Source organism: Homo sapiens, chromosome 1 (assembly GCF_000001405.40).
Source record: "Homo sapiens chromosome 1, GRCh38.p14 Primary Assembly".
In the NCBI taxonomy this organism is placed as follows: Eukaryota; Metazoa; Chordata; class Mammalia; order Primates; family Hominidae; genus Homo; species Homo sapiens.
In genome coordinates this window covers 202,986,452-202,999,527 of record NC_000001.11, presented here as the reverse complement: position 1 = coordinate 202,999,527, position 13,076 = coordinate 202,986,452, and the positions used below count along the sequence as shown (strand labels likewise).

Here is a 13,076-nt window from a genome sequence, read left to right as displayed (position 1 = left end):
AAGTCTAAAATATTTGCCGTCTGGCCCTTTACAGCAAGTTTGCAGACTTCTAATTTAGAATAAAGTTTCTGGGCACTCTGCACCACAAGAGGGCAGTATAGCCTCAGTACGTGATAATTGAGTCTACAAAAATTTGCACATCAGGAATTACAGAAATGAACATATTTTTCCCACCTATAGGCTCCTTTCTCTAATTTACAAACATGCACAAGTCTACTCTGTCCTGAAAACCTCCATGACAAACACTGTTCCCTCCTCTATCTACCATGACTAATAAGAACACCTTTTGCCCATTGTCTTTGTTTCTTCAGCACCTAGACAATTCTTGTGTCACCAGACTCGGGCTTCAAAATTCACCTGTCCATTGAAACTACTCTTAAGGTAGCCAGTGACCTCTTCATTGCATTTTCTACATTCTCTTTCTTATATTTCTATGAGATCTCATCCTTCTTGAAATCATCTTTACGATGATACTCCATTTTTTTAGCTCTCTTCATTATCTCTCTGGCTACTCTCACGGTGACAATGCTCTTTTTTCTCCTTCTATAACCTGTGTTCCCTATTCCACTCTGTTTAAGATGGGCATCAGTCCAGATAAATGCTGTTTTTGCTTTTGCAAATTATTAGCCTTACAAAGTTTTGGGCCGGGTATGGTGGCTCATGCCTGTAATCCCAGCACTTTGGGAGCCCGAGGCGGGTGGATCACGAGGTCAGGGGTTTGAGACCAGCCTGACCAACACGGTGAAACCCCGTCTCTACTAAAAATACAAAAATTAGCTGGGCATGGTGGCGGGTGCCTGTAATCCCAGCTACTCAGGAGGCTGAGGCAGGAGAATCGCTTGAACCCGGGAGGAGGAGGTTGCAGTGAGCCGAGATCGCGCCACTGCACTCCAGCCTGGGCGACAGAGCGAGACTCGTCTCAAAAAAACAAAAACAAAACAAAACAAAACAAAGTTTGGGAATCAGATTGCTAACTTATAAGGGGCATGGCCAGGACTTAGTATGCAATGGGGCCAGGTAAGAAGGAATTGCTATTAACTGAAGAGGTTTGATCAAGTACCACGTCCCAAGGGCAGACCAGAATGAGTTGGGGGGTGAACACAATCTTCCTCAGCTTCATAATCCCACACTTCATGATCCAGTCAATTTTGGGGGCCAGACCCAAGTCTAATCCTTAGTATCTTTATACTGTTTCCTCTATCAGGGAATACCTGCTCCATTCCTTTCTCCTGGGTAACATAGGAGCTCTGTAGGATTAAAAAAAAATGGAGTTCCATGCTAGCTATAAACACTCTACTTGCAGTTACTATAATTAGCTGAGAGCTCTGGGAATTTTCAAGTTTCATTCACGCTGTAGTATGAATCAGAACTTCATCTCTTTTTCTTGCTAAATAGTGTTCCATTTTATGTATGCACCACATTGTGTTTTTCCGTTCATCTGTTGAGGGACATTTGAGTTGCTAATGTGAATAATGCTGCTATAAATATGGGTCCACAAATATTATTTCAAGACCCTGCTTTCAATTCTTTTGGTATATATCCAGCAGTGGAATTACTGGATCATGTGGCAATTCTATTTCTAATTTTTTGAGGAACCACCATACAGTTTTCCACAGCAGCTGCACCATTTTACATTTCCACAAACAGTGCACAAGGATTTCAACTTTTGTTCATCCTAGCCAGCACTTGTTATTTCCTGTTTCTTTTTAATAGTAGTCATCCTAATATGTGTGGGATGGAATCTCATTGTGGTTTTGATTTGCACTCCCCTGATGATCAGTGATATTGAGCATCTTTTCATGTGCTTATTGGCCATTTATATATCTTCTTTGGAGAAATGTCTATTCAACTCCTTTTGCCCATTTTTGAATCAGGTTTTTTTGTTGTTGTTGCTGCTGTTGAGTGTTTGGAGTTCTCTATATAAACTGGATACTAATCCCTTATAAGATACATGATTTGGGCTGGATGTGGGGGCTCATGCCAGTAATCCCAGCACTTTGGGAGACTGAGGCAAGAGGATTACTTGAGCCCAGGAGTTTGAGATCAGCCTGGACAACATAGCAAGACCCTGTCTTTACAAAAAATTTAAAAATTAACCAGATGTGGTGGTGCAGACCTGTGGTCCCAGCTACTCTGGAGGCTGAGGTGAGGATTACTTGAGCCCGGTAGGTTGAGGCTGCAGTGAGCTGTGATTGTGCCACTGCACTTCAGCCTGGGTGGCACAGAAAGATCCTGTCTCAAAAAAAAAAAAAAAAGATGTAGGATTTTCAAATATTTTTTCCAACTTTGTGGGTTGCCGTTTTACTCTGTTGATAGTGTTTTTGATGCACAAAAGCTTTTAATTTTCATAAAGTCTAAATTGTCTATTCTTTCTTTTGTTGCCAGTCCCCTTGGTGTCATATCCAAAAATTCATTGCCAAATCCAATACTGTGAAGCTTTTGCCTATGTTTTCTTCTAAGAGTTTTATAGTTTTAGCTCTCAAGTTTGTCTTTCATCCATATCAATTTAATTTTTGTATGTGATGTAAGGTAAGGATCCAACTTCATTCTTATGTTGTGTGCATATCCAGCTTTCAGAGCACCATTTGTTGAAAAGACTGTCCTTTTCCCATTGAATGGTCTTGGCTCCCTTATCAAAAATCATTTGACTGTATGTTAGAGTTTATTTCTGGGCTTTCTTTTCCATTCCATTAGTCTATATGTCTTCCTTTATGCCAATACCACACGTTTTGATTACTGTAGCTTTGTAGTGAGTTTTGAAATAAGGAAGTGTGAGTCCTCCAACTTTGCTCTTCTTTTTCAAGACTGTTTTGCCTACTCAAGGCAAATTCCATATGAATTTTAGGAAGGATTTTTCTATTTCTGCAAAAGACATCATTGGGATTTTGATGGGTATTGCATTGAATCTGTAGATGACTTTGAAAGTATTAACATCTTAACAATATTAAGTGTTCCAATCAATGAACATAGGATGGCTTTCCATTTATTTATGCTTTCTTTAATTTCTTTGGCAATATTTTGTAGTTTTCATTGTACAAGTCACATCCTTGGCTAAGTGAATTCCTAAGGACTTTGTTCTCTTTGATGGTATTAGAAATAGATTTCTTTTTCATTAATTTCATTTTCAGAGTGTTTATTCTGTTTATTACTTCATAGAAATTCAACTGATGTTTTTGTGTTGATTTTGTATCCTGCTAATTTGCTGAATTAGTTTAATAGTTCTAACAGGTTTTTTTGGTAGAATCTTTAGGACTTTGTACATATAAGATCATATCATCTTCAAACAGAGAAAATTTTGCTCTTCTTCTCAAATTTGGATTTTTTTTCTGTCTTTCTTTGTGCCTAATTGCTCTGGCTAGAATTTCCAGTACTATGTTGAGTAGAAGTGGCAAAAGCGGGCATCCTTGCCTTGTACCTGATCTTACAGGAAAAGTTTTTAGTCTTTTACTATTCAGTATGACGTTCACTGTGAATTCTTTATATATGATTTTATTATGTTGTGGTAATTTTCTTCTATTCCCAGGTTGTGGAATGTTTTTATAATGAAAGTATGTTGAATTTTGTCAAATGCTTTTTCTGCATCAATTGAGATAATTATGTGGTTTTCTTCCCCTTCGTTATGTTAGTGTGGTGTATTACATTGGTTTTCATATGTTAATCCATTATTACATCCGGGAATAAATCCCCCTTGATCACGGTATATAATCCTTAAGATGCTGCTTAATTCTTTTGGCTAGTATTTTATTGAGGATTTTTATATGAATGTTCAAAAGGGATATTGATCTGTAGTGTCCTTATTGTATCTTTGCTAGCTTTGGTATCAGGGCAAAACCAGCCTCACAGGATGAACTAGGGAGTGTTTCCTCCTCTTAAATTTTTTGGAACAGCTTGAGGATTCATGTTAGCTCTTTAAATGTTTGGTAGAATTCACCACAGAAGCCATCAGATCCAGGGCTTTCTTTGTCAGGAGATTTTTTTTATTACTGATTAGATCTTACTAATTATGAGTCAACTCATAGTTTCTATTTTTTAACGATTCAGTCTTGGTAGGTTTTGTGTTTCTAGGAATTTGTCCGTTTAATCTGGGATATCCAATTTGTTGGCATACAATTGTTCATAATACTCTCTTATAATCCTTTTTATTTCTGTGAATCAATAGTAATGTCCCACTTTCTGATTTTAGTATTTTAGTCTTCTCTCCTTTTATTCTTACTCAGTCTAGCTAAAGATTTATCAATTTTGTTCGTCTCTTCAAAGAACAACTTTTGGATTAGTTTCTTTTCTTTTTCTTTGAGACAGAGTCTCGCTCTGTCACCCAGGCTGGAATGCAGTGGTGCAATCTCAGCTCACTGCAAACTCTGCCTCCCGGGTTCAAGTGATCCCCTCACCTCAGCCTCCCAAGTAGCTGGGATTACAGATGTGCACCACCACACCTAGCTAATTTTTGCATTTTTTGCGGAGACAGAGTTTCACCACATTGGCCAGGCTGGTCTTGACCTCCTGGCCTCAAGTGATCCACCCACCTCGGCCTCCCAAAGTGCTGGGATCACAGGTGTGAGTCATCGTATTTTCTTTATTATTTTTCTGTTCTCTGTTTTGTTTATCTCTGCTTTTATCTTTATTAGTTCCTTCCTTCTGCTAGCTTTGAACTTTGTTATCTTTTTCTAGTTCTTGAAACTGTAAGTTAGGTTGTTGATTTGAGATCTTTCTTCTTTCTAAATATGAGAATTTATAGCTATAAATTAACCCCTTTACATGGCTTTTGTTGCATCCTCTAAGTTTTGGTATGTTGTATTTTAATTTTCATTTATCTCTAAGTATTTTCCAATTTCCCTCTGTGATTTCTTCTTCCTCTTCTAAAGGGAGGTCCTAGAATATAGTTCCTGATAAGCTATGACAAAATTTTAGTATGTCGAGTGGGGTACCTCAGTAGTCACTCTCATAGAAGTAGACTATAATAGGCCGGGCACAGTGGCTCACGCCTGTAATCCCAGCACTTTGGGAGGCCGAGGCGAGCGGATCACGAGGTCAGGAAATCGAGACCATCCTGGCTAACACGGTGAAACCCCATCTCTACTAAAAATACAAAAAAAATTAGCCGGGCGTGGTGGCGAGTGCCTGTAGTCCCAGCTACTCGGGAGGCTGAGGCAGGAGAATGGCGTGAACCTGAGGCAGGAGAATGGCGTGAACCTGGGAGGCGGAGCTTGCAGTGAGCCGAGATCACGCCACGGCACTCCAGCCTGGGCGACAGAGCAAGACTCCATCTCAAAAAATAAAAGAAAAAATAAAAGAAGTAGACTAGAATAGTGGTTACCACAGGACGGGGAGAGTAGTTGGGGAGCAAGCATCATGACAGATTGTTCAGTGAGTACAAAGCTGTAGTTAGATAGGGGGAATAAGTTCTGGTGGTCTATTGTATACTAGGATGACTAGAGTTAACAATAATGTCTGTTTCAAAAGAGCTAGAGGAGAGGTTTGTTAATGTTATCCTCACAAATAAATAAATGTTCAAGGTGATGGGTATGCTAATTACTCTAATTTTGTCATTGCACAATTTATACAGGTATTGAAACATCACATTACACTCCATAAATATGTACAATTATTATGTGCCAGTCACAAAATTTTTTTAATGTACATAGGATAATGGTCCAATGATCAAGAATGTCAGGATAGCTAACAAATACTTTGAATAAAATATAATACAGTAGGATGATTAAAAAAAGAAACTCGGGGTAAGAAAGAATATTTTGCCGGGCACAATGGCTCACACCTGTAATCTCAGCACTTTGGGAGGCCGAGGTGGGCAAATGGTTTGGATTCAGGAGTCCAAGACCAGCCTGAGCAACATGGCAAAAACCTGTCTCCACTAAAAATACAGAAAATTAGCTGGGTGTGGTGGTGCACACCTGTAGTCTCAGCTACTTGGGAGGCTGAGGCAGGAGGATTGCCTGAACCAGGGAAGTTGTCTGCAGTGAACCATGATTGCACCACTGCACTCCAGCCTGGGCAACAGGAGTAAAAAAACACTGCCTCAAAACAAAGAAGAAAGAATATTTGTAGAATATATAAAAGTTCTCTAAAAGCATCAACAGTGGGTAATAGGAAAGAATCACTATTGTAATACTCAGAATTGTCAAGTTATAAAATGTAAAGGAAGGACAGCTGAATACGAGAAAACTATATTTTGAAAAATAACAATGTGGGCCAATTTTTAAATAAACCATATAAATACCAGGGCTATGTAGGAAAATCTCACATAGGTTTTGCTATTGTTTTTCTATATGCCTTATAACTCTGGTTCCTCGTTCCTGCATTACTGTCTTCTTTTGTGTTTAGCTGGGGTTTTTTGTAGCGTAATGTTTTACTTTTCTTCTCATTCCCTTTTGTGTATATTCTATAACCATTTTATTTAAGGTTGCCATGGGGATTACACTTCACATCCTGAAGTTATGACACTCTAATTTGAATTTATACCAACTTAACTTCAATAGATACAAAAACTCTGCTCCTATACTGCTGACTCCCCACCCCTTTCAGCTATTGATATCATAAAATATCTTTATACATTGTGTGTCCAAAAACATAGACTAATAGTTGTTTTTTAAAATGTATTAGTCTCTAAAATGATGTAGAAAACAAAATGCAGAGTCTCAAACTGAAGTTACAATAATACTAGCTCTTAGACTAATAATTGTATTTTATACCGGAAATTTTATGCTCATTTTTACTTCTACATAAATTTTTTTAAAAGAAGCATTTTGGTTGAGAGAGAATAAAGAAGATGAGGAAGATTTTTTTAAAGACTAAGAAGAAAAAGTAGAAAGGGGTAGGAGAAGGAAAAGGAAAAAGATGCTTATTTAGTCTCAAGTGAGTCATGACCTATAGCATAATGCTATAGTTTTATACATGTGCCTTTAGCAAAATAATACTATCACTAAGTAAAGCTCATCTATAATTGTAGATGTTTTTAGATTTAAAAGTTGAATTTAGGATCTTTATGGGGTAATTAGAACTGGTATTAAATTCCTATTATAAACAACTAGAAAATTGGATAAAATATAAGAAAAAAAAATGCCTTCGGACATTGAACAACAAGTAACCCAGGAGAGAAAGCACAGACACAAAGTAAGCCTTACAGTTTCCCTGGCTTTCTGCATTGAGGTAATTTCTGAACCACAGACATTACAGAGCAGAATTCCAGGAAGGAGAGAACTATGCAGGAAAAAGAGCTCCAGAAATCTGCATGGGAGTTTCCTCAAGTCAAGACTACTGGGCCATGCACACATACAGTAAAATTCCACAAGGCCAGGGGAAAAGTGGGATGATATCAATGATAAAACTGAAGCAGAGCAGAGGAAGAATATGGAAATTTCTTGGGTCAAACATTAACATCAAGGGGTCTAGGAAAGAATAGAGGTTTAATGACCAATTTGTGGTAACTAACAGATCTACTTACCCGTTGGGCCTGATCTTAGCCTGGAAAGGGGATGTGGAATGAAAGTAATGAAGAAAGACTCAACAGCTCACTGTAGCTCTTCTTTACAATTCTCCATGAGGGCTTTGTAAGTTGTTGAAGGTATTATTCAAAACCTGCCAATTTAATTCAAAGTGGTGGAATTGCATTCTGAACGATTTCTAAAATACTGGGTCAAATCAGGATAGCTAAGTTATGCTGTGGTAACAAACAACCCCAAATCTCAGTGGTTAAAGACAATAAAAGTTTATTTCTCCCCCAAATTATATGTCTCATCCAGGTGTTGACTCTGCTCCATATAGTCACTCAGGGAACTAGGCTGACAGATGCTCCACTGTCTTGCAGCTATGCCATCTGGAATGCATAGCCAACTTAGTCACCAGAGTAAGGGAAGAGAAAAAATGGAGAATTTCATGTGGGTTTTTTACTGTCTTACCCCAGAAAGGACACATACTAATTTCCACTCATTTTTCATTGGCTAGAGTTAGTATTGTGGCTTCACTTAACTGCAAGGGGGCCAGGAATAGAGGAGCAAATGGAATATTTAGAGAGACTTACTGTGTTTACCACAGCTAGAAAGCTGGTGTTAACATTTCTCACCACCCAAATCTAACCTTCACTTACAAGTGATGGGGGAGATGGTGAGCTGCCTGCTCCCCATTCAGAAAGAACAGTGGTTGCTAGGTAGTGTCTCCTGAGAGTGTTGACCAGGCTTGGCTGGTCTTATAGGAGACATTCAGTGGCTTCAACCTACTCTGTGCAGTCAGAGCCCTGCCCTTCAGACACTAAGGCTGTTTTATTTTTAGTTTCAGAAAAAACCCTGCTTTCAGAGGAACTTCAAATTATATTTGTCTGTGTGTGATCCAAGAGCCAAAGACAGATTAAATGATTCCAGTGGACATACTGCTCTGATTATGGTGAGAATTTTCACATGGTTAGAAACTTCCAGTTAGTTTCCATTTTCCTTGCTACCTCAATATTTCCCTTGGAAATGTGGCACATGCAATGAAGGGCTTATATTCAAATATCGATTTTTTACTTGACTCTGAGGTAGAAGCTCCTACAAAAATTCTACCGCCCCAACCAAACATGAGTTTGGAAGGGTAAGCCTTGAGGAATCAGTCAGCATAATGGCTGAGAGACAGGAGAGGGGAGGTTTAGTGGAGATGTGGGATTTGAAAGGATCATACTCGGGCCCTTTACCTTCTATTTTGGTTTCCTTTCCTTGGTACAACACCTCTTCTGGTTGCATCCCTTCTCCAAGAGGGTTTTTCCCTTCTATTGCATGATCCTCCTAAGACGTATCCTTGGCTTAAGCAGGTGAATAAATGTATCTTTAGTTAACTTCCTGTCATAAAAAAACTAGAAAATAAGAATACATCTGAAAACCCATGAGGAAGGTACAGAATGTAAAGAATAAATAGAATCAAGCTCCTTGGCCTTTTAAAAGGCCATTTAGATGGCAATTTTTGCAGTTTTTAGATAGCAAAAATTTGGGGTGAGAGGTGTTAGTATGCAGAGGGAGAAAGCTCAGGAAAGAATAAGCCAGTGATACCTTGAAGTACGAACAGAAAGGGAAAGGGTAAGAAAATGGCACCTGTGTGCTTCTCTAGGAGGAGGTACTTAAAATCCATGTGCTGCCCACATTTCTCTGCAGAGCTACATCCAACCCCTGGCAGCATGCATCATTGCCTTGGAAAATATGTCACAGCAATTATATCCTTATTCCTCTTGAGCTTCTTCCTCCGTGAGAAAATCCAAAATGCTGAATATAAACTTCTGTTGGTGAGTACCAGAACCTGATAGTGGAATCCATTTTCAATTATTAAGTAGGAAAATAGCTAAATAAAAGTCAACATTTAGGCCCCATCTATGTGGGAAACTCTAGAATTGCTGTAAATGTTCTCAGAAAAGAGAAGTAAAGACAGAATACTTTTTTAATCAACATAAAGGAAGTGAAATAATTTTGTTTTGTTTTTCTTAAGAAAAGATGGCTGGGCGCAGTTGCTCATGCCTGTAATTCCAGCAATTTGGGAGACCGAGGTAGTCAGATCAGGAGTTTGAGACCAGCCTGGCTAACATGGTGAAACCCCATCTCTACCAAAAATACAAAAAATTAGCCAGGCCTGGTGGTGCACACCTGTAGTCCCAGCTACTTGGGAGGCTGTGGTGGGAGGATGGCTTTAGCTCAGGAGGGAAAGGTTGCAGTGAGCCAAGATCACACCAGTGCACTCCAGCCTAGGCAACAGAGTGAAACCCTGTCTCAAAAAAAAAAAAAAAAAAAAAGGCAATTTACTTTCTGTAAATTGCTAACCCATGAAAGAAATACATGAGTAATTTGTTATAACCATCAATGGTGACAGTGGAGAAGTATAGATAAATAAAAATAAAACAGACATTTCCAGGGGAAAACAGAGTAGTACAAGACATAGGAGACAACTGACAATGAGATGCCTAATTTGTGGTTACTAGGAGACTCGCTTGCCAGAGGGGTATGGAATAGGAGTGATAGAGACTTCCTGTAGCTTTCCTTCAAAAACTCTGCAAAGGACTTGTGTATTATTGAAAAAATCATTCAAAACCAACACTACCAGCTTGATTCACAGTTACTTTCTAAATCCCTGAATTTAAAACAGCCACTTTCCACTATCCCTTCATATATCAGCGGGATTTGACTAGGAGCAGGGAGGAAGAAAGGGGACTCCAGGTGTGGAGAGGGCAGTGCACACCCACCTCTAAAGTACCAGGCTGACTGGCAGGACTAGCAGGCAATGAGGACCTGGGTGCTGGCCACTTCCCAACCAGGACCTAGCATGGAGATGTGATTTTTTCCATTTCTCACATGAAGGATTGGAAATAGCTTCCCTAAGTGGACAACATCTGCAAGTGAGAAGACCAAACCCCACACAGTTCCTGGCCAGGCTTTGAAATCCACATTTTTGCTAAAATATCTCAGACCAGCTGGAGCTAAGCACAGGGCAGGTGTGGGGAGTGGTTCAGAAATGTGTGCACGGTCAGATGTGAGCAAAAGAAAGGACTCTAGAATTGAGGCACTGGGGCCTATGTTCCTTGAGGACAGGGCCAGGCACTGGGTGCCAGCACATCTCACAGAACCTAGCCCAGGCCTAAGCCGAGGTAGACGACACTGGCCAGCCTGACAACGGTGAGGGCAGGCAAGTGCTTACTCCGCACAAGACTTAACCCTTCCCGCAGGCACTCCACACAAACCAGGGAGCCCCACTTCCCAACCCAGGACCCATGGCCTCTGCTGGAAAGCCCTGTGTGGTTTCATGATGAGGTGGGGAAAGTGGTTCCCTGAGCCCCACACTCGGCTTCCCTGGGCACAGGAAGCTGAGGCTTGCCCAGCCTGTCCTCAAAGGCTGCTCCTCAATTGTCTCCAGGGAATCTGGGGGTGAACCTCAGGAATGACATATCTTATCCTCAGAAGGAAAAGGAGGACATAGCTTGGAAATAGCTGTCAAACAAATCAACTCTGAAAGCAAGAACCATCTGTGAACCTTCAAGGAGATGCAGAGAGACTCCCATCTTCTCCAGCAGGCTAGCTACCAATCCCTGGCTGGAGCCTGTCCCCAGGAAAAGAGTGAGTACCTGGGAGGGAGTGGCCTGACTGGGGGAAGATCAGCCAGGGTATTTTGGCCAGAAAAAGGAAGGAGGGTTGAAAAGGGAACTGACTGGCCTGTGGCAAGGAAAGAGTGTGTGTGCTCTGAGGCAGGGCCATGCTGTGGAATTTGATCCATGTTATGATCCTGAGTGTGTTTTCCTCCCACCTGGTCACCCCTTGAATGACCAACAGGACAGAAGGGCCATAGTGACCCTGGGAAGGAGCTGTCCCATAGTGAAGCTCAGTCATGGTCGGCCCCCAGGGAGGGGAAAACAGGAAGGGGGAGGAGCCGGAGGGAGCGCGGGAAAAGGCATTGGGTAGAGGGTAGGCAAAGAGGGCCATGTGGACTTCAGATCTCGGTGCAGTAGACTATTGGACCCTTGGGTTTACATAGATTTCCAGAGATCCTCTAATCCAGGTCTGGTTGACCTGTGGTAGCTGAGATAACTCTGAAGGTCAAGGCCAGGCTAAGATACTTTGCCAAGCCAGCAATTTGCCTTTGGTACCCGGCAGTCTTGCCCATGAGAGAGAGCCTTGCCCTTCATAAAGCTTCCCCAAGAGCCTTCCAAATATTGACCAAAATACTTTGACCAAAGAAAATCACATCACAATTTCTGATCAGATATTAACCTCCTATCTGGACTACATGTCCCAGGAAAAGGAATGTGAATTGTCACTGGGATCAGCCTAAGGAGAAGACCTGGGAGGAGAGTCCTAGGAATGCTTCACCATCCTGAAGTGCTCATGTGCCTCATGTCTCCCCCAGGACTGCTGACCGTGGGGATTGCCTCAATGCAGCATCCTCGTGGGAGCTACCTCTTGGACAACCTGCAGTCCATGTTCCAAGCTTCCTCATAACGTGAGCTGGAGTATATCGTGGTGCTGGTCCACCTGTCAGGTCCTGACCCTGAATGGCTTGGCCAAACAGCTGCCACTATTTCAGGTCTCTTCACACCACAGATTAGGGCCGGGAAGCTGCTGGTGATCAATCATAGCTCCCCTCTCCCAGGAGATCTGAGTGACGTTAATCACTCATCACTCTGTGAAGCCCTCTATTCCAGACAGAAAGTAGATCATGCCCTCCTCATGAACTTTGCTAGCAACCTCTCTGATTACTTTCTTTTGTTGGAAGATCATATTCATTGCACCCCCAAATTCGCTGCTGCCATCTCTTCGGCCTTATCAGCCTGGAAAGAACTACCTTGGGTGATCCTGGAGTTCTCCCACCTGAGCATCTCTGGGAAAGTTTTCTGCACCAGTGACTTCTCCCGCCTGAACACTTTTTTCCTCCTCTTCCATAAGGACACTCCTACTCACTTGCTTCTCTCTGAATTTCGTCTTCTCTTGGCCCAGAATATTCCTATTCATTTCAGTCCCTCTGTCTTCCACCACACAGGCAATTATTCTGTGTTTGATGACATGTGCTTTTCTGTGGAGAAGGACAGGGTCTTTGGTGAACCAGACAACCCTGTTGCAACTGTCCTTACTGACATGGTATCAATGTTGGCTGTGATTCTACAATACACTTATACACTGAACAAGGAGGGCTACTCTACCTTAAATCCTTTAAAAGGAAACTACTTGACAGTGATTCTGGACAGGCCACAAAAAAACACCCAGATAGCAGTCGGGAGGTACCGACTGCAGCAGGGGCAAGTGGAACCGGGCTATGACCCCCAGGAGGATCCCAAAAGCTGTGCTCGCTATGCCCTGCTAGGGCCACTGGTGGGAGGAAATTTGGACCAGGTAGTATTTTCTGAAGAAGAGTCTGTGGAACAGTTGAATTGTATCCGGCTGCTGGTGTTGGCATCTCAAGAGTCTTGACTCCTGATCAAGCAGATCAAAGTCTGGACTGAGCCTGAGGAAGAGGAGAGATAGAGGGCACAATGGGGATTCTGGAAGAATTGGGTCTGAGAATGGAATCTACATGGTTGGGAAGAAATAAACTCAGGCACCGATCAAAAGCTACTCATTTTA

At 41.4% G+C, this 13,076-nt stretch overlaps 1 pseudogene across 1 annotated transcript in view; it reads left to right on the top strand.

Annotated features, from left to right (window-relative positions):
• The window catches only part of MGAT4FP (MGAT4 family member F, pseudogene), a 20,814-nt pseudogene extending 7,738 nt beyond the window's left edge, over positions 1–13,076 (top strand). Inside the window, exons 2-5 of the transcript NR_036557.1 lie at positions 8,284–8,394; positions 9,135–9,262; positions 10,923–11,078; positions 11,866–13,076. The product of NR_036557.1 is annotated as an MGAT4 family member F, pseudogene (transcript). The remainder of the gene's footprint in view (positions 1–8,283; positions 8,395–9,134; positions 9,263–10,922; positions 11,079–11,865) is intronic.